Source organism: Homo sapiens, chromosome 12, assembly GCF_000001405.40.
Source record: "Homo sapiens chromosome 12, GRCh38.p14 Primary Assembly".
NCBI classification, from domain to species: Eukaryota; Metazoa; Chordata; class Mammalia; order Primates; family Hominidae; genus Homo; species Homo sapiens.
This window is the reverse complement of record NC_000012.12, coordinates 121,670,168-121,690,930: the sequence shown is the minus strand read 5'-3', so window position 1 is coordinate 121,690,930 and position 20,763 is coordinate 121,670,168. Positions and strand designations below refer to the sequence as shown.

General features: G+C 48.9%; 1 protein-coding gene and 1 long non-coding RNA gene across 6 annotated transcripts in view, besides 4 other annotated features; one reads left to right on the top strand and one right to left on the bottom strand.

Moving 5' to 3' along the window:
* Positions 1–228: 228 nt before the first annotated feature.
* Positions 229–20,763, bottom strand: part of LOC105370034 (uncharacterized) — a 26,613-nt gene continuing 6,078 nt past the window's right edge. Inside the window, exons 2-4 of one of the 5 annotated variants that reach the window (XR_945464.3) lie at positions 13,512–13,669; positions 1,660–1,863; positions 504–691 (exon numbers count right to left, since the gene is read on the bottom strand). This is a non-coding gene — a long non-coding RNA (uncharacterized LOC105370034). Of the gene's footprint in view, positions 692–1,659; positions 1,864–1,945; positions 2,147–3,644; positions 3,797–13,511; positions 13,670–20,763 lie in introns of those variants that run through there. The other 4 variants (XR_945465.2, XR_945463.2, XR_945466.2 and 1 more) reach the window with 4 other exon arrangements.
* Positions 2,977–3,963: an enhancer, noted in NCBI's record as "H3K27ac-H3K4me1 hESC enhancer chr12:122124874-122125860 (GRCh37/hg19 assembly coordinates)". NCBI's record gives its function as "activates a minimal SCP1, AML or CMV promoter by ChIP-STARR-seq in primed H9 embryonic stem cells {active_cell/tissue: H9 hESC(primed)}" and the evidence as "EXISTENCE:reporter gene assay evidence [ECO:0000049][PMID:30033119]".
* Positions 18,214–19,140: an enhancer, noted in NCBI's record as "H3K4me1 hESC enhancer chr12:122109697-122110623 (GRCh37/hg19 assembly coordinates)". NCBI's record gives its function as "activates a minimal SCP1, AML or CMV promoter by ChIP-STARR-seq in primed H9 embryonic stem cells {active_cell/tissue: H9 hESC(primed)}" and the evidence as "EXISTENCE:reporter gene assay evidence [ECO:0000049][PMID:30033119]".
* Positions 18,287–20,763, top strand: part of MORN3 (MORN repeat containing 3) — a 23,903-nt gene continuing 21,426 nt past the window's right edge. Inside the window, exon 1 of the mRNA NM_001363685.2 lies at positions 18,287–18,352. The gene's annotated coding sequence lies outside the window, so the exon portion shown is untranslated. The remainder of the gene's footprint in view (positions 18,353–20,763) is intronic.
* Positions 18,291–18,340: a silencer, noted in NCBI's record as "silent region_4983". NCBI's record gives its function as "represses an Ori minimal core promoter by ATAC-STARR-seq in GM12878 lymphoblastoid cells {active_cell/tissue: GM12878}" and the evidence as "EXISTENCE:reporter gene assay evidence [ECO:0000049][PMID:35858748]".
* Positions 18,551–18,650: an enhancer, noted in NCBI's record as "active region_7180". NCBI's record gives its function as "activates an Ori minimal core promoter by ATAC-STARR-seq in GM12878 lymphoblastoid cells {active_cell/tissue: GM12878}" and the evidence as "EXISTENCE:reporter gene assay evidence [ECO:0000049][PMID:35858748]".

The following is a 20,763-nucleotide window of genomic DNA, read 5'->3' as shown; positions in this document are numbered from 1 at the left end:
GTGGTGCAATCTCAGCTCACTGCAAGCTCCGCCTCCCGGGTTCACGCCATTTTCCTGCCTCAGCCTCCTGAGTAGCTGGGACTACAGGTGCCCGCCACCACGCCCGGCTAATTTTGTGTATTTTTAGTAGAGACGGGGTTTCACCATGTTAGCCATGATGGTCTCGATTTCCTAACCTCGTGATCCGCCCGCCTCAGCCTCCCAAAGTGTTGGGATTACAGGCATGAGCCACCGCGCCTGGCCTCATCCAGGTGACTTTTTTGGGGGAGGGGTTGTTTTTGAGACAGGGTCTCGCTCTGTCACCCCAGCTGGAGTGCAGGGGCACAATCACAGCTCACTACAGCCTTCAATTCCTGGGCTCAAGTCACCCTCCCACCTCAGCCTCCTGAGTAGCTGGGACTACAGGCGCATGCCACCATGCCCAGCTAATTTTTGTATCTTTTGTAGAGACACAGTTTCACCATGTTGCTCCAGGCTGGTCTCAAACTCCTGGGCTCAAGAGATCCACTCACCTCAGCCTCCCAAAGTGCTGGAATTACATACATGAGCCACTGTGCCCAGCCACACGTGGTTTTTAAGAGATTTCTGTAGGAGTTGGGATCTTCCACAATTGTGAGATCTGGTTAGACAGTCTCCATAACGCTGGGTCTCTGTGTCTGATGCTGGAGCCTGAAGTCTGCAGGGCAGGCAGCTGAGAACAGAAGATGGATGTAAAGTAGGGAAGAGCAAGAACGATCTGGAACCCATGAGCAAGAGCTGAAATCTACAAGCACAGACTGAAACCTAGGTCAGTCCTCATTGTCCCCAACTTTGATGGCATGGGTGTCCTGCAGGAAACACTGGTGCCCTTAGGCAGGGAGCTGGCTCAGGGGTCACAGCAGCCAAACAAGGATCCAGGGGCAGGTGGACCCACCGCAGGCAGGTAAAGGACAATGTTCAGGAGATGCAGAAGTGGCTGGTGACTCTGCCCCGGCCTTCCAGGCATCAGTAAGAGTATGGCTGCTGCTCTACTTCCACACACCAAATCTCATGCCACAGAAAATTGCCCTTTATGGCCCACCCAACCAGAAAAACATAGAAAAAGGAATTCTGGGAAATGCAATTCAACTAGCCAAGCTAACACATTACCAAGCCAGTGACCATGGTTTCTTGGGATAGCTTGGGGGTGACGTATCAGTGTTCTACCATGAGCAAACCTACCTGCAAGGGCTGAGAGCTGAAGGAAGCTGACAAACCTGGTTTCTCAGAAAGAAACTTTTTTGTTTTTTAGAGACAGAGTCTTGCTCTGTTGCCCAGGCTGGAGTGCAGTGGCACAATCATGGCTCACTGTAGCCTCAGACTTCTGGGCTCAAGCAATGCTCCTGCCTCAGCTTCCTGAGTAGCTGGGACTATAGGTGCACCGCAGCACACTTGGTTAAGGTTTTCCATTTTTTTGTAGCAATGAGGTCTCACCACTTTGTCCAGGTTGCTCTCAAACTCCTGGCCTCAAGCATTCCTCCTGTCTTGGCCTCCCAAAGCACTAGGATTACAGGCGTGAGCCACCCACCCAGTCTCAGAATGAAACATTTAATAGGGATTTTTGAACAAAAGCCATGTCTTGGGTGGCTGTGAGATGATGGATCCCTGCACCGTTAGCCCCCAGACCCAAGGCTTATATACCTAGGGAAAGAGTATATGTGCTTCAGAAGGAATATGTCATCAAGGTTGTTTTGACCCAAGGGCAGGATTTGCAGTAATTACTTGCTCTTCACAGTAGATAACGTAGAAATCTTAGAGGCATTCCGGCAACTGAGATTAATTAGAAGTCCACATGGTGGATAAGCTGGCAAGGTAGAGTTGCTTTAGCCTCCACAATCAGCCAACCTGCAAGTAAAAGGAAATGTAACCAAAAGTGCTTAACCAATAAGGAAAATTTACTATGTCACAGAACAATGGGTCCAATGACCTTACAGTGTTGTGAATGGCTCAGGAATGTCATTAAGGGTCAAGTTCTTTTTCTCTGCCATCTGCAGCAGGTTGGCTGTATTTCTCAGCATGTCACAGCCTCTATCACATCCTCACGTAACTATGTCCACAGCTGGGAAGGGGACTGTTTCTCTCATGAGGCTCTATTTAAGAGCAGGGGGCTGCATACAGTGGCTGATACCTGTAATCCCAGCACTTTGGGAGGCTGAAGCAGGAGGATCGCTTGAGCCCAGGAGTTCAAGGCCAGCCTAGGCAAGATAGCGAGACCCCATCTCTATAAAAATAAAAAATTAGCGGGCATAGTGGCACACGCCTGTGGTCCCACCTACTCAGGAGGCTGAGGCAGGAGGATCGCTTGTCTAAAAAGTCAAGGCTACAGTGAGCTGTGATCGCACCACTGCACTCAAGCCTGGGCAACAGAGGGAGACCATGTCTCAAAAAAAAAAAAAAATTATGAAGAATTTGAAAATGGGCCGGGCGCAAGGGCACACACCTGTAATCCCAGCACTTTGGGAGGCCGAGGGGGGTGGATCAGGTCAGGAAGCCTAAGGTCAGGTGTTCAAGACCAGCCTGGCCAACATGATGAAACCCCATTTCTACTAAAAATTAAAAATTAGCCGGGCATAGTGGCACACGCACGTAATCCCAGCTACTCGGGAGGCTGAGGTGGGAGAATCAGTTGAACCTGGGAGGTGGAGGTTGCAGTGAGCCATGATCACATTACTGAACTCCAGGCTGGGCAACAGAGGGAGACTCCAAAAAAAAAAAAAAAGAATTTTGAAATAGCAACAGGAGGGTATTAACCCAAGCACAAGGCCCTTCTGAATGCAGGGAACATCATATTAACTAGGTGTAGATTTTGAGTCCATTTAAGGGTTTCCATGTTGCTTTTTCATTACTTTTCTATGCTTTTTATGAGGGACATACGAAGCAGTTCATTCTTTTCAAAGCAGGTCCATTCTTGGTTTAGGGCTCTTTTTAAAAATTTTATTATTACCATTTTTTTTTTTGAGACAGAGTTTCGCTCTTGTTGCCCAGGCCAGAGTGCAATGGCTGCAGTGGCGCGATCTCGGCTCACCACAACCTCTGCCTCCTGGGTTCAAGAGATTCTCCTGCCTCAGCCTCCCGAGTAGCTGGGATTACAGGCATGAGCCACCATGCCGGGCTAATTTTGTATTTTTAGTAGAGACAGGGTTTCTCCATGTTGGTCAGGCTTGTCTCCAACTCCCGACCTCGGGTGATCTACCTGCCTCAGCCTCCCAAAGTGCTGGGTTTACAGGCGTGAGCCACCGCGCCCGGCTGATTCTTTTTTTTTTTTTAGACAGAGTTTCACTCTTGTCACCCAGGCTGGAGTGCAATGGTGCAATCTCAGCTCACTGCAACCTCCACCTCCTGGGTTCAAGAGGTTCTCCTGCCTCAGCCTCTCGAGTAGCTAGGATTACAGGCGCCCGCCACCATGCCCAGCTAATTTTTGTATTTTGTTTCGGCAGAGACGGGGTTTCACCATGTTGGCCAGACTGGTCTCGAACTCCTGACCTCAGGTGATCCACCCGCCTCGGCCTCCCAAAGTGCTGGGATTACAGGTGTGAGCCACCGCGCCCGGCTCAAATCTTTTTTAAATTGAAGGGTAAATTCTCTGTGTTCATATTCCCAGTCGTGACATTTTTTGGTCGAGTAACCTTGCTGCGGAGCATTGGGGACAGTCCCCGCCCCAAACTCGGCCACCAGCGCCTCCTCCGCGCTCTCATCGCCCTTGCCGCGTTGCAACGCGATCCCGCCCACTTCCGGCAGGAGCGTCCAGAGCGCAGGCCCAACTCCAGGGGTCCTTCAGCAACTGTCAACTGCTGACGTATGCGCATGTGTAAAGGGGCGGGTCTGGTTAATTGCGCGGGAGATTGTGGGTCCACTGAACTCACGCGACTGTCTCCGCCCACTTAAATAGGCGGGCGGAGCCGAGGGCCCAGTCTGGCTTCAGGAAGCGCAGGCGCATTGAGTACAGGAACGTGACTCAGGCACCGGGGCGACCTTCACGCATGCTCATTTAAATAAGGCAAAGAGCTTATTACACCAGCTCCAGGACCCGCCTTTCTCTCTTAACCAGCCTCTGGCTTTTAAAGGGCCAGAATTCCTCCGAATTATGGATTTTTTGGTTTGGGGTTTTTAAAATAATTTTATTTTATTTTATTGTGGTAAAAATACTTGACATGAGAGTATTTTTAAAGTGTACCATATAGTATATTGTTAGCTGTAGATACAACCGAATTGCTTTTTTATATTAAGCATTTATTGAGCACCTACTATGTGTAAACCAAACTTACATTGCTGTGTGCATTTTACAATTTTTCTCCTGTAATAATATGTAATAATTACGTTCATATGTATATTTTTGCATAAATTTATTCCTCCATCCCAGTGTACTATTCCTTTCTTTGGTGGCAATTCTCTCTCTCTTTTTTTTTTTTTTTTTTGAGACAAAGTTTCATTCTTGTTGCCCAGGCTGGCATGCAATGACGCGATCTGGGCTCCCTGCAACCTCCGCCTCCCGGGTTCAAGCGATTCTCTCCTACCTCAGCCTCCCGAGTAGCTGGCATTACAGACACCCGCCACCACACCTGGCTAATTTTTTTGTATTTTTAACTAGAGACGGGTTTTCACCATGTTGGCCAGGCTGGTCTCAAACTCCTGACCTCATGATCTGCCCGCCTCGGCCTCCCAAAGTGCTGGGATTACAGGCGTGAGCCACCGTGCCCGGCCCCAGCCTCTCTTTAAAATTATTTTTATTTATTATTATTTTTTAAGAGACGGGGTCTCACTCTGCCATCCAGGCTAGAATACAGTGGCGAGATCATAACTCACTGCAGCCTCCATCTCCTGGGCTCAAGCGATCCTACCTCACCCTCCCGAGTAGCTGTACTACAGGTGCGCATCACCACATCTGGCTTTTTTCTTTTCTTTTTTTCTTTTAAGATTGTGTCTCACTGTGTCTCCCAGGCTGGAGTGCGTAGCTCACTGCAGCCTCTAATTCATGGGCTCGAGCAATCGTCCTACCTCAGCCTCCCAAGTAGCGAGGACTATATAGAGACATGGTCTTGTTGCCCAAGCTAGACTGGAACTCCTGGCCTCAAGCGATTTTCCTGCCTTGGCCTCTCAAAGCACTGGGATGACCTGACTGAAGGCAATTCTCTGGAATGGGAGGCAATGTGGGGTTCTGGGCCGGTCTTCCCAGGTTAAGAGGCCTGCGACTGAATTTTGGCTCTTTCACTTCCTTGCTCTTTTACTGTGGATATGTCACCTAACTTCTGGGAACCTAACAGTTGCCTGCTTTTTATTTATTTATTTTTATTTTATTGTTTGAGACAGGGTCTCACTCTGTTGCCCAGACTGGCGTGCAGTGGCACGATCTTGGCTCATTGCAACCTCCACCTCCCAGGTTCAAGCAATTCTCCTGCCTCAGCCTCCTGAGTAGCTGGGATTACAGGTGTGCACCACCACACCAAGCTAATTTTTGTATTTTTAGTAGAGACGAGGTTCCACTATGTTGGCCAGACTGGTCTCGAACTCCTGACCTCAAGTGATCCACCTGCCTCAGCCACCACGCCCAGCTAATTTTTGTATTTTTAGTAGAGACCGGGTTTGCTGTGTTGGCCAGGCTGGTCTTGAACTCCTGACCCAAGTGATCCTCCTACCTCAGCCTCCCAAAGTGCTGGGATTACAGCGGTGAGCCACTGCGCCTGGACAGTTTGCTTCTTTTTAAAACAAAGATCAGGATACCTACCAATCTCACAGGATTGTTGCAAAAAGTAAATTCTTTAAAAAGTGTGTGTGAAGTCAGGAAGCTGAGGCAGGAGAATCTCTTGAACCCAGGAGGCGGCGTTTGCAGTGAGCTGAGATCGCGCCACTGCACTCCAGCCTGGGCGACAGAGCGAGACTCCGTCTCAAAAAAAACCAAAAAACAAAAAAAAGTATGTGAAGTGCCAAGTACTGTGCCTCATGCCAGCTATATATGTTGAACAAATAGTCATTAAGTGGAATTATTCAGTCAGAAAATGGTTTTATAGTTCCTGTAACAGTTCCAGATGGTTCTTCAGGAAGATTTACCTAATTGCGAGGATGGCTAGCCATGTGTAATGGTGTCTCTTTTTCCAATATCGCAGGCCATCATTTTTACACATTTTTCCTAGTCTAGACAGTATGTAATGGTATGGCAGGGTTATTTTAATTTTCATTTATTTAATTCTAGTGAGGCCATGCATTTTTCCTTGGGATGATTTATTAGCTTTATTTCTTTGCCTAACAACTATTTTCTAACACTGTAATTTTCACTGGCTTATCCCTGCAGACATGATGTTAGGTTTTGACAGAGCATGTTGTTGACCTTTTTTTTTTTTTTTTTTTGAAACGGAGCCTTGCTCTGTTGCCCAGGCTGGAGTGCAATGGCGCGATCTCGGCTCACTGCAACCTCTGCCTCCTGGGTTCAAGCAATTCTCCTGCCTCAGCCTCTGGAGTAGCTGGGATTACAGGTGCCTGCCACCATGCCCAGCTAATTTTTGTATTTTTATTAGAGACGAGGTTTCACCATATTGGCCAGGCTGGTCTTGAACTCCTGACCTCAAGTCACACTTTGAGAGGCCGAGACCAGGCAGGCCAGAGTGCTGGGATTATAGGCGTAGCCACCACATCCAGCCTGACCCTTTTTTTTTCTGGAGAAAGAGGGTTAGGGGGAGAGAGAGAAGCAAAAGGAAACTCTCCAAAGAAGGGATTGAGGCTACAGTGAAAACTCATCCCTAGAGCAGCTCTGTCCAGTAGAACTGGCGAGGGTGCCACAATGTCTGCATATGTCTGTCCCATATAGTCCAGCATGTGTCCACAAAGCACTTGGAACGCGGCTACTGTGACTGAGGAATTTTTAATTTTATCTAACTTAAATTTAAATTCAAATACAAGGGAGGGGACAGGCACAGTGGCTCACACTTGTAATCTCAGCACTTTGGGAGGCTGAGGCAGGAGGATCACTCTAGCCTACGAGATCGAGACCAGCCTGGGCAACACAACGAAACCTGGTCTCTACAAAAAATACAAAAGTTAACCGAGTGTGGTGGTACACACCTGTGGTCCCAGTTCCTTGGGAGGCTGAGGTGAGAGGATCACTTGAGCCCAGGAGGTTGAGGCTGCAGTAAGCCATGAGTACACCGCTGCACTCCAGCCTGGGTGACAAAGTGAGACTCTGCCTCACAAATAAATAAATAAATAAATAAATACAAGGGAGGCTGAGGCAGGAGTTCAAAGCTGCAGTGAGGTATGATCAGGCCACTTTACTCCACCCTGGGCAACAGAGTGAGCCCCTGTCTCTAAAAATAATAATATAAATACATAAATAAATAAATAAACAAACAAAAATAGCCACCTCATTGATGACACCTCATTTTCTTTTTTCTTTTTTTTTTTTTTTGAGACGTAGCCTCATTCTGTCGCCCAGGCTGGAGTGCAGTGGCACAATATCGGCTCACTGCAACCTCCGCCTCCCGGGTTCAAGCGATTCTCCTGCCTCAGCCTCCGGAGTAGCTGGGACTACAGGCGCTGGCCACCACGCCCAGCTAATTTTTGTATTTTTAGTAGAGACGGGGTTTCACCATATTGGCCAGGCTGGTCTCGAACTCCTGACCTCGTGATCCTCCCACCTCGGCCTCCCAAAGTGCTGGGATTACAGGCATGAGCCACCGTGCCCGGCCCAGATGGCACCTCATTTTCCTTTGGAAAAATAAGGGGAAAAAGGAGACAAAAAAAGGGGCCTACAAAGTCAACTCAGGAGTGTCCTCACACATATAGAAGGACTCGAATTTAGACTTTTGGCATTGTTCCGGAGAGAGATGGTCCCAGAGACTATTGGTTTTGACAAAATGCTGTGTTCAGTTTGTGAAAATTTATCAAGGTATACACTGATGATATTTCCACTTTTTTTTTTTTTTGAGACAGGGTCTCACTTTGCCACCCAGGCTGGTATGCATAGGCATGATTACTGGTCACTGCAACCTTCACTTCCTGGGCCTTGGGTGATCCTCCCACCTCAGCCTCTGGAGTAGGTGGGACCATAGGCATGCACCACATTGCCCAGCTAATTAAAAAAATTTTTTTGTAGAGACGAGATTTAGCCATGTTGCCCAGGTTGGTCTCAAATGCCTGGTCTCAAGCAATCTATCTGCATTGGCCTCTGAAAGTGTTGGGATTACAGGTGTGAGCCACCGCTCCTGGCCCCCCCCCTTTTTTTTTTTTTTTGAGACAGGGTCTTGCTCTGTCACCAAGGCTGAAGTGCAGTGGTGGGATCACCACTCACTGAAGCCTCGACCTCTCGACCTCCTGGGCTCAAGTGATCTCGCCTCAACCTCCTGAGTAGCTGAGACTACAGGCATGCACTACCACATCCAGCTATTTTTAAATTTTTTTAATTTTTTTTGAGATGGGGGTCTCACTATGTTGCCCAGGCTGGTCTGATCTGACCTTAAGCAATCCTCCTACTTGGGCCTCCCAAAGTGTTGGGATTACAGGGGTGAGCCACCATGCCTGCCCCACTTTTCTATATGCACTTTACACTTCCATAAAAAGTTAAACAAAATTTAGCCCATTCTATGTTACCTTCTTTTGACATTTACCTGGTTTTCAATTTAGCAGAAATCTCAAAAAAAAAAAAAAAGTGGTCTGTGACTCGCTCTGGACACCTGACAGCCCCTAGAGGGCGCTCATTCTGCATGAGAGACTTTTTCTTTTTTTTCTTTTTTCTTTTTTTTTTTTTGAGACGGAGTGTCGCTCTTGTTGCCCAGGCTGGAGTGCAATGGCGTGATCTTGGCTCACTGCAACCTCCGCCTCCCAGGTTCAAGCGATTCTCCTGCCTTAGCCTCCGGAGTAGCTGGGATTACAGGTATGCACCATCAAGCCCGGCTAATTTTGTATTTTTAGTAGAGACGGGGTTTCTCCATGTTGGTCAGGCTGGTCTCAAACTCCTGACCTCAGGTGATCCGCCCACCTTAGCCTTCCAAAGTGCTGGATTACAGGCCTGAGCCACCGTTCCCAGCTGTACACTTTAAATGAGTGAATTCTGGCCAGGCACGGTGGCTTACACCTGTAATCCCAGCACTTTGGGAGGCTGAGGCGTGCTGATCACAAGGTCAGGAGTTTGAGACCAGCCTGGCCAATGCGGTGAAACCCCGTCTCTACTGAAAATACAAAAATTAGCTGGGCATGGTGGCAGGCGCCTGTAATCCCAGCTACTCGGGAGGCTGAGGCAGGAGAATCGCTTGAGCCTAGATCGTGCCACTGCACTCCAGCCTGGACGACAGAGTGAGACTCCATCTTAAATAAATAAATAAATAAATGAAGTGTACAATTCAATAGTTTTTAGTGTGTCCACAGACTTATGCAACTATCAGCACGGTGAAATTGAGAACATTTTCAAAATAAATAAATAAGTGTACAATTCAATGGTTTTTAGTGTGTCCACAGACTTATGCAACTATCAGCACGGTGAAATTGAGAACATTTTCAAAATAAATAAATAAATAAATAAAGTGTACAATTCAATGGCTTTTAGTGTGTCCACAGACTTCTGCAACTATCAGAATGGTGAAATTGAGAACATTTTCAAAATAAATAAATAAATAAATAAGTGTACAGTCCAATGGTTTTTAGTGTGTCCACAGACTTATGCAACTATCAGCACCGTGAAATTAAGAACATTTTCAAAAGAAACCCTGTAGTCCTTAGCTATCACTTCCCTCTCCAGTCCCTGGCAAGCACTAATCTACCGTCTGTCTCTGTGCCTTTGCCTATCTCAGACATTTCAAATGAATGGAATCACATACTGTGTGTCCTTTTAGCATTTATACACTTCCACTTAGCATTATGGGCTTTTTTTTTCTTTTTTTGAGTCGGAGTTTTGCTCTTGTTGCCCAGGCTGGAGTGCAGTGATGCGATCTCAGCTCACTGTGCAACCTCTGCCTCCTGGGTTCAAGAGATTCTCCCGCCTCAGCCTCCCGAGTACCTGGGATTACAGGCGTCCACCACGACACCCAGCTAAGTTTTTGTATTTTTAGTAGACATGGGGTTTCACCATGTTGGCCAGGCTGGTCTCAAACTCCTGACCTCAGGTGATCCACCTGCCTCGGCCTCCCAAAGTGCGGGATCACAGGTGTGAGCCACCGCGCCCGGCCGCCAGCATTACATTTTTACGGTTCACCATTTTGTAGCACCTATCAGAATTTCATTCCTAGGCCGGGTGCAGTGGCTCACGCCTGTAATCTCAGCACTTTGGGAGGCCAAGTTGGGCAGATCACTTAAGGTTAGGAGTTCGAGACCAGCCTGGCCAACATAGTGAAACCTCGTCTCTAGTAAAAATACAAAATTAGCCAGGTGTTGTGGCACACGCCTGTAATCCCAGCTACTCTGGAGCCTGAAGTGGGAGAATCTCTTGAACCTGGTAAGAGAAGGTTGCAGTGAGCCGAGATTGCACCACTGCACTTCAGCAAGGGCGAGAGAGTGAGATTCTGTCTTAGAAAAAAAAAAAAAAGCTGGGCGCGGTGGCTCACGCCTGTAATCCCAGCACTTTGGGAGGCTGAGGCTGGCGGATCACGAGGTCAGGAGATCGAGACCATCCTGCCTAACACAGTGAAACCCCATCCCTACTAAAAAAAAATACAAAAAATTAGCCAGACATGGTGGCGGGCGCCTGTAGTCCCAGCTACTCTGGAGGCTGAAGCAGGAGAATGGTGTGAACCTGGGAGGTGGAGCTTGCAGTGAGCCGAGATGGTGCCACTGCATTCCAGCCTGGGTGACAAAGCGAGACTCCATCCCAAAAAAAAAAAAAAAAAGAACTTCATTCCTTTTTATAGCCAAATAGGATTCCATGGCATGAACAGAGCGCATTCTGTTTATCTGCTCATCTATTGATGGATATCTGGATGGTGTCCACCTTTTGTCTATTATGTGCTATGGCCCATGCCTGTAATCCCAGCACTTTGGGAGACCGAGGTGGGCGGATCACTTGAGGTCAGGAGTTGGAGACCGGGCTGGCCAACGTGGTGAAACCGTCTCTACTAAAAATACAAAATTAGCCGGGCATGGTGGCAGTGCCCGTAGTCCCAGCTACTTGAGAGGCCGAGGTACAAGAATCACTTTAACCCAGGAGGTGGAGGTTGCAGTGAGCCAAGATCGCATCACTGCACTCCAGCCTGGGTGACAGAGCGAGACTCTGTAAAAGAAAAAAAAAAAAAAACAAATCTCAGGACTCCCTGCCAAGGCTGAACATCCAGGAAGAAAGCTAAAGGTCTGTGCCCAGAAGAGGGTCAACAAGACCATGCCTTGCTGATTGAGGGGACATTTATCTGTGGGTGTTGAGGGGAGTCCCTCTTGCCCCAGACTATACAGGGCAACTCCTCTCACCCAAAGCTGTAAACAAGATCCTTGAATATGGCGCTCAGCCATATCCTTGCCACTCAGATCTGGAAGTGATTACCCGAAGGGTATTTGGGACAGGAGCCCCCCAGGCCTAATGCTCTTGGCATGTCAGTATCTGGGAGGGGCCAGCCTGAACCACCTACTCAGGTGTTGTGAATAATGTTACCCAACTCTGACCCCATAGGGAGAATAATCTCATAGATTTGTGTAACCTGCCCTTCCGGCTGGCCTGCAGATGCAGATGAGCCCTAATTTGGCCCAGATTCTTCTCGATGGGGCGGTCCTGGCTTCCTCTGAGCCAGGGTCTGATTAGGGGCTGCGAATGAGCTCTTTGCCATGCTGGGACTGAGGCTTGGGGCTGTGTCTTAGGCTGGTCAAGGAAGAGAAGGTTCCAAGTCATGAGGCACCCCTCAACGAGTGGCAGGGTGGCTCTGGACAGGCCAACAGGCAAGAGACAGTTTGTACCGGGTTGAAGATGGGCCTGGGCTGCTGGCTAGGTACCTAAGGAGGAGAGGAAAATTTCATAAAAAGAACCACAGTGGCAGCAGCATGACTGGCCAGGGGCCGACTCCAGACCCAGCTGGGCCAATCAGGGTTTGGGGATTGGAATTCAGAAACAGCCAGTAAGTTTGTTTGAGGGATTGGAACTGAGGTGATAAAAGGGGCAGCTGCTTCCCACCATGAGAAAGCTGATTCACAGAACCAGAAAGACTGAGGCGGGGAGGGGGAGAGAGAGAGAGAGAGAGAGAGAGAGAGGAGGCTTTGCTGTAGACAGGTGTCCAACGCTGGAGTCCAGTTCCTTGTAAACTCCAGCTGAATTTCCTGTTATTAGACTCCACGAAAGACTCTTAACATCCTTGTAATAAATTTCCCTTTTGGGGTAATATGAAATGCTTTCTCTACTGGCAACCAAAGAACCTTGTATAAGGCAGGAAGATACACTGAGGAAGTTTTCTATCCATCAATTACAGTCTACTGGGAGAGAGAAAGGTGCACCCAATGAATTAAATATAGATGATGCAATAAGGCCAGGTGCAGGGGCTCATGCCCTCTCAAAGTAATCCCAGCACTTTGAGAGGCCCAGGCGGGAGGGTCGTTTGAGCCCAGGAGTTTGAGACTATCCTGGGCAACATAGTGAGACCCCCTATCTCTACAAAAAATAAGATAATTAGATGGGTGTGGTGGTGTGTGCCTGTAATCCCTGCTATTGGGAGGCCAAGGCAGGAAGATCACTTGAGCCCAGGAGTTTGAGGCTGCAGTGAGCCATGTTCATGCCACTACATTCCAGCCTGGGCGACAGAATGAGACCCTACTTCTATGATATGGTTTGGATCTGCGTCCCTTCCCAAATCTTATATTGAAATGTAATCCCCAATGCTGGAGGTGGGGCCTGCTGGGAGGTGAGTGGATCATGGGAGAGGTTTCTCATGGTTTAATACCATCCCTTTTGGTGCTGTCATCGGGAGAGTGAGTTCTCATGAGATCTGACTGTTTTTTTTAAAAAAAGCACTGGCCAGGAGCAGTGACTTATGCCTCTTATCACAGCACTTTGGGAGGCCGAGGCAGGTAGATCACCCGAGGTCAGAAGTTCAAGACCAGGCTGGCCAACATGGTGAAACCCCATCTCTACTAAAAATACAAAAATTGGCTGGGCGTGGTGGTGGTTGCCTGTAATCCCAGCTACCCAGGAGGCTGAGGCAGGAGAAAGGCTTGAACCTGGGAGGCAGAGGTTACAGTGAGCGGAGACGGCGCCATTGTACTCCAGCGTGGGCAACAAGAGTGAAACTCTGTCTCAGAAAAAAAAAAAAAAAAAAAAAAAAAAGCAGAATGGTGAGTGCCAGGGGCTGAGGAAAGGGAAGGGGAACAAGAGTTAGTGTTGAATGGGGCTGAATGTTTGTTTGGCAAGATGAAAAAGTTCTGGAGATGGATGGAGGTGATGGTTGTAGGACAATGTCAATGTACTTAATGCCCCTAAAGTGTGCACTTAAAAATATTTAAAATATAAGTTTGTAGTTGGGACAAAAATAAAATGGTAACTTTAATGTTATGTATATATTACCAAAATAAGAAATCACCAAAAAGAAAAAAAGGAAAAACATCACCTCAAAGTCTGTGTGGTCTTGAAGCAAGGCTCCTACACTCCAGCGTGGGTCAGCCGTTACCTGTGGGTCACCTGGAGGGTGTCAGCTCTGGGCACTCCCAGCTGTCTGCCCAAACAGGTGAAGTGGCTTCAGTAACTCAGGGACCGTCGTCTGAAGAACTGGAGGTGAAAGAACCAAAGTACTTAGAAACCAGGGGGTCAGGCCAGGCACAGTGGCTCACACCGGTAATCCCAGCACTGTGGGAGGCCGAGGCAGGTGGATCACCTGAGGTCAGGAGTTTGAGACCAGCCTGGCCAACATGGTGAAACCCTGTCTATACTAAAAATACAAAAATTACCCGGGCGTGGTGGTGAGCGCTTGTAATCCCAGTCACTCAGGAGGCTGAGGCACAAGAATCGCTTCAACCCAGGAGGCAGAGGTTGCAGTGAGCTGAGATCGCGCCATTGTACTCCAGCCAGGGCGACAGAATGAGACTCTGTCTCAAAAAAAAAAAAAAAGAAAGAAAAAAAAAGAAAGAAAGAAAGAAAAAGAAACCTGGGGTCAGCACACAGAACTGGTAGGAAGGACCTAAAGGGACCAAGGTGGGCACCAGCAGTGTTGGCTGCAGTCTCGGGTCACCTGCACCAACTGGGCAGCAATCTTACCAGGGACATATATTTTTGGTGTTATGGGACACCTGACCACACTACTCTAGCAGTCAGAGTCTTGGTAGAAAACCCAAATCACGTGCCAAGTAGTTCCACAAAAAGAATTTCTTCATAGTGATAACAGTGTTGGATGGATAGAAAGAGCAGCAGGAGAAAAGATGATACCTAGGGCTGGAGAGGCGAAGGGAAGAAGTGCTCACAGAGCCCACAGGCCAGACCTGGGCAGCAAGAGATGAAACCAGGTGCACTTTCTGCCAGAGACACTCCCTGAAGCAGAGAAAGAGGGAAAGACCCCAGCATCTGCCATTGGCTGAATGCAGCCAGAAGTCACTGCGGGGAAGTCACTGCCCAGAGGCAGGAGGCAGCATCCCTGCCAAACAAAGCACAGCAGGAGAAGGGCAAATAATGGATCTGCCTGGTGTGGTGGCTGGCACTTGTAATCCTAGCACTTTGAGAGGCTAAGGCGGGGAGGAGACTTGAGGCCAGGAGTTCGAGACCGGCCTAGGCAAAATAGTGAAACCTGTCTCCAAAAAAAAAAAAAAAAAAAAAAGTAGCGAAGTGTGGTGGTGTGTCCCTGCAGTCCCAGCTACTGAGGAGGCTGAGGCAAGATAATCTCTTGAGCCCAGGAGTTCAAGGCTGCAGTGAGCTCTGATTGCGCTGCTGCACTCTAGCCTGGGTACAAAGCAAGATATTGTCTATAAAAAAAAAAATAGAAGAAAAATAAAAAGGCCAGGCTCAGTGGCTCATGCCTGTAATCCCAGCACTTTGGGAGGCCAAGGTGGGTGGCTCACCTGAGGTCAGGAGTTCAAGACCAGCCTGGCCAACATGGTGAAACCCCGTCTCTACAAAAAATACAAAAATTAGCCGGGCATGGTGATGCATACCTGTAATCCTAGCTACTCGGGAGGCTGAGGCAGGAGAATCACTTGAACCCGGGAGGCAGAGGTTGCAGTGAGCAGAGATCGTGCCACTACACGCCAGCCTGGGTGACAAAGTGAGACTCTGTCTCAAAAAATAAAAATAAATAAAACAAAAAATAAAAAATAAGGCTTGGCGCGGTGGCTCATGCCTGTAATCCCAGCACTTTGGGAGGCCGAGGTGGGAGGATCACGAGGTTAGGAGATCGAGACCATCCTGGCTAACACGGTGAAACCCGTCTCTACTAAAAATACAAAAAATTAGCCAGGCGTGGTGGCGGGCGCCTATAGTCCCAACTACTCGGGAGGCTGAGGCAGAAGAATGGCGTGAACCAGGGAGGCGGAGCTTGCAGTGAGCCGAGATTGCACCACTGCACTCCAGCCTGGGTGACAGAGCGAGACTCTGTCTCAAAATAAATAAATAAATAAAATAAAATAAAATATAAAAAATAAAAATAATGAGGCCGGGTGCAGTAGCTCCCGCCTATAATCCCAGCACTTTGGGAGGCCGAGGCGGGATGATCACCTAAGTTCAGGAGTTGGAGACCAGCCTGGTCAACATGGTGAAACCCCGCCTCTACTAAAAATACAAAAATTAGCAGGGCATGGTGGCTGCCATCTGTAATCCCAGCTACTCTGGAGGCTGAGGTGGGAGAATCCCTTGAACCCATGAGGCGGAGGCTGCAGTGAGCCGAGATCGTGCGACTGCACTCCAGCCTGGGTAACAGAGCAAGACTCTGTCTCAAAAAACAATAATAAAAAAATAAAATAAAAAGAACGGATCTGAGGACAAAGGGGCAGATGACAGGATATCCACCCATTTCTCTGTTCCACAGAGATTTGCCAAGTGTGTGCTGTGCACCTGTGCACCAGGCCTGTGCTCAGTGTTGGGGTTGCAGCCTGGGATAGCATGGACAGAATGGTCTGCAGCAGATAGAGCTGCTTCTGTACAGCAGAGGGATCCCCACCCCAGAAGAGCAGGTCCTCTCAGGGTTGTCTCCAGCCTGGACGGTACCTTGTGCCAAGTAGAAAAAGTGGTCCTTCCAGGAGGACACAGCCCTGTGGGCACACAGCTTGGGAAGCAGATGAGGCAAGCTGAGCACTCCACAGCAAAGTATCATTTCCACAACCATGCCTGGAGACTCTGGTTTCCCTTTCCCTTTCTCTCTCTCTCTTTCTTTCCTTCTTTTTCATTCTCTCTCTCGCTTTCTTTTTCTCTCTCTTCATTCTTTCTTTCCTTCTTTCTTCTTTCCTTCTCTTTCTTTTTTTTTTTTTTTTTTTTTGAGACAGAGTCTTCGCTCTGTCGCCCAGGCTGGAGTGCAGTGGCGCGATCTCGACTCACTGCAAGCTCCGCCTCCCGGGTTCATGCCATTCTCCTGCCTCAGCCTCCCGAGTAGCTGGGACTACAGGCGCCCGCCACCACGCCCGGCTAATTTTTTGTATTTTTAGTAGAGACAGGGTTTCACCGTGTTAGCCAGGATGGTCTCGATCTCCTGACCTCGTGATCCGCCCACCTCGGCCTCCCAAAGTGCTGGGATTACAGGCGTAAGCCACTGCACCTGGCCTCTGTCTCTTTCTTCCTCTCTTTCCTCTATCTCTCTGTTACTTCTTTTTTTTTTTTTTTTTGACAGGGTCTCACTCTTTTGCCCAGAGTGATCTTGGCTCACTGCAGCCTCCCTCTCCAGGGTTCAAGCAATTCTCCTGCCTCAGCCTCCCGAATAGCTGGGATTACAGGTGTGGGACACCATGCCCCGCTAACTTTTGTATTTTTAGTAGAGATGGGGTTTCACCATGTTGGCCAGGCTGGTCTTGAACTCCTGATCTCAAGTGATCCACCCACCTTGGCCTCCCAAAGTGCTGGGATTACAGGCATGAGCCACCACACCCGGCTGAGACTCTGACTCCTTTCTAGAAGGAATCCTTAACCTGAGGACCACCAACCCCCGCAGCAGGAGTCCCCCAAAGCACATCATTCATTCATTCATTCATTTATCCAACAAATATTTATTGAACAACTTTGTGTGTCTGGCACACCTCTAGGTCCTACAGAGATGGCAGTGAGAAAGCACAAAAACTTTTCTGTTTTCAAATAGGGCAAAATGCCAGTAATTGTTAAACATAGGCAGAGGCGGTAACAGGTGTTCATTGTAGTTATTTTTTTTTCTGTGTTTGAAATTTTTATTGAAAATAGAAGTTGGAAGAAAAAAAAAGTTTATCTTCCAAGAGACAGACAATAAATAAGGGGTGTATGTGTGGTGGTGCTAAGTGCTAAAGAGGACATAAAACAGAAATGAGGGGGTTGGCAAGTGTATATGGAAATTCCAACTTTAAATAGGGTGATTCCAGGAACTCCTCACTGAGAAGGTGATTTTTGAATAAAGCCCTGAAGGAGAGAAGGGAATGATCCAGGCTGCTTTCCGGAGGAACAGATGTCCTGGCAGCAGGCACAAAAGAGGCAAAGGCCCCGAGGCCAGAACATGCCCAGTATTTTCCAGGAACAGCAATGAAGCAAGTGTGTGGCTGGAGCAGAGACGGGTTGCCAGGAGTGGGGGGGCAAGGTGTGAGTGGAAAGGGGAGGGGCGAGCAGATCACCAGGGCCTTGAAGGCCACTGGAAGGGCTGTGGCTTTTACCCTGAGTGACCAGGGTAGCCCCTGGAGGGTGTGAGCCGAGAGTGACTGAAGCCGACTTGTGGAGGGTAATAAGTAGGCACCCTTCAGGGGCCGGGGGGTCTCTAGGGCTCCCATTAGACGCTCAGAGCAGTCCAAACCCCAACAAGGCTAAGGTCCAGTGTGACGGCCAGGCACGGTGGCTCACGCCTCTAATCCCAGCACTTTGGGAAGCGACGTGGGCGGATCACTTGAGGTTAGGAGTTCAAGACCAGCCTAGCCAAACCCCGTGTCTACTAAAAATACAAAAAATTAGCTGGGCGTGGTGGCAAGCCCCTATAACCACAGTTACTTGGGAGGCTGAAGCAGGGAGAATGGCTTGAATCCGGGAGGCGGAGGTTGCAGTGAGCCGAAACCGCGCCACTGCACTCCAGCCTGGGCGACAGAGTGAGACTCCATCTCAAAAAACAAAACAAAACAAAACAAAACAAACAAAACAACAGTGTGACGTAAGTTTGCCTATCAAATTTTGCCGCTACCGGGTCTCGGCAGGAAGGGGCGGGCACTGCTTGGTTGGTAGGCTGGGGCGGCGCGTTGCCATAGCGACCCCGGCCGGGCCCGCGGCGCGCGCAGCTGACGGACATTGAGGCTGGATGCTGCGATCCCGCAGGTGAGCGCAGGTGAGCCGGGCGCAGGTGGGGCAGGCCCAGGACTCCTGACTGACCCCAAGCCGTCTGGTTCCCGGCTCCTCCCTCTTCCACTGTGGGTTTTTTGTTTTGTTTTTTTTTCCCTTGAGACAGGGTCTCCCGCCCAGGCTGGAATGCAGTGGCGCCGGATGATAGCTCACTGCAGTCCCGACCTCCTAGGATCAAGGCATCTTCCCACCTCAGCCTCCCGCGCAGCTGGGACTACAGGCCTGCGCCACCATGCCCAGCTAATTTTTTTTTTTTTTGTAGAGATAAGGTCTCACTATGGTTGCCCAGGCTGGTCTCCAACTCTCGGACTCATGTGATCCTCCCGCATCAGCTTCCCAACGTGCTGGGATTGCAGGCGGCAGCCCCCATGCCGCCAGGCCGGTCTTTGTTACTCAGCATCAAAACAACCTGGGCCGACTTTCATTTCCTGTCAACAGCTCAGGTGTTAGGACTACAGCCTCCTCCGGAGTAGAACCTATGTTCCCTAAACTGTGGGATGGAGGGTGATTTTAGGTTACACTGATGAGGTGTGAAGTAACACCCAATGACATCATAAGAAAGTTATTAGAGTCTGGGTTCTCTTGCAATTCTGAGTAAGCCAAGAGGAGTCAGTCTGGTGATTACATGGCATTAACACCTCTTTTAACATTTGCTAATCTTTTTTTTTTTTTTTGAGACGGAGTTTCACTCTTTTTGCCCAGGCTGAGTGCAGTGGCAGATCTCAGCTCTCACTGCAACATCCGCTTTCCGGTTTCAAGCGATTCTCCTGCCTCAGCCTCCCGAGTAGCTGGGATTACAGGCGTCGTCAACCACGCCCGGCTAATTTTTGTAGTTTGAGTAGAGACGCGGTTTCACTATGTTGGCCAGGCTGGTCTCGAACTCCCGACCTCGTGATCTGCCCACCTCGGCCTCCCAAAGTGCTGGGATTACAGGCGTGTGCCACCGCTCCCGGCCTTGCTAATTCCTATTTTTAACAGAGACCTTGGAGCTCAGTCAACTCTAAGCCATAGCATCTAGCTAAGACTTAAATTGGTTCTTTCAGTGTTTTCATTTTTACATTTATTATTGCCTTAGGGTACCTGCTACTGGTTTTCTATTTATAATAATGATACGTAAAGTCTCCATTCTTCTAATTTTTTTTTTTTTTTGAGATGGAGTCTTGCTCTGTTGCCCAGGCTGGAGTGCAGTGGCGCGATCTCGGCTCATTGCAAGCTCCGCCTCCCGGGTCATGCCATTCTCCTGCCTCAGCCTCCCGAGTAGCTGGGACTACAGGCGCCCGCCACCACGCCCGGCTAATCTTTTGTATTTTTAGTAGAGACGGGGTTTCACCATGTTAGTCAGGATGGTCTCAATCTCCTGACCTCGTGATCCACCCGCCTCGGCCTCCCAAAGTGCTGGGATTACAGGCGTGAGCCACCGCGCCCAGTCTTTTTTTTTTTTTGAGACAGAGTCTCACTCTGTCTCGCCCAGGCTGGAGTGCAGTGGTGCAATCTCGGCTCACTGCAGCCTTCTCCTCCCTGGTTCAAGCGATTCTCCTGCCTCAGCCTCCCGAGTAGCTGGGATTACAGGCGCCCGCCACCACACCCAGCTAATTTTTGTATTTTTAGTACAGACAGGGTTTCGCCATGTTGGCCAGGCTGGTGTTGAACTCCTGACCTCGGGTGATCCATCCGCCTCGGCCTCCCAAAGTGCTGGGGATTACAGGCGTGAGCCACTGAGCCCGGCCTATTTTATTATTATTTTTTAAGACTGAGTCTTGCTCTGTCTCCCAACCTGTAGTGCAATGGTGCAATCTCGGCTCACTGCAACCTCCGCCTCCTGGATTCAAGCTGTTCTCATGCCTCAGCCTCCTGAGTAGCTGGGATTACAGGCGCGTACCACCAGGCCTGGCTAATTTTTGTATTTTTAGTAGAGACAAGGGTTCACCATGTTGACTAGGCTGGTCTCGAACTCCTGACCTCAGGTGATCCACCCGCCTCGGCCTCCCAAAGTGCTGGGATTACAGGCATGAGCCACTGCGCCTGGCCCTCCTTTTTTCAATATATGTATTGATTTTTTTAAAGTGAGTTAACTTATTTTTATTTTCTTCTTGAGAAAAGTTCTCACTCTGTCATCCAAGCTGGCGTGCAGCGGCATGATCTCGGCTTACTGCAACCTCTGCCAAGTGAGTTAATTTACATATAAAGATTAATAGTACATGTGATATTTGGAAATGGGAGAAGAAAAAATCCCAACGGCATAGAATTTAGGACCTGAGATTGTTTCCCCACTCCCAGCTTTTGCTCTGCCTATTTTCTTTGCCTGGAATTATTTTTCCCTACTCCTAGGTGTGATTGTCAAAATATGTAACCCATATTTTGGGTTCATATTTTGGATTCATATTTGG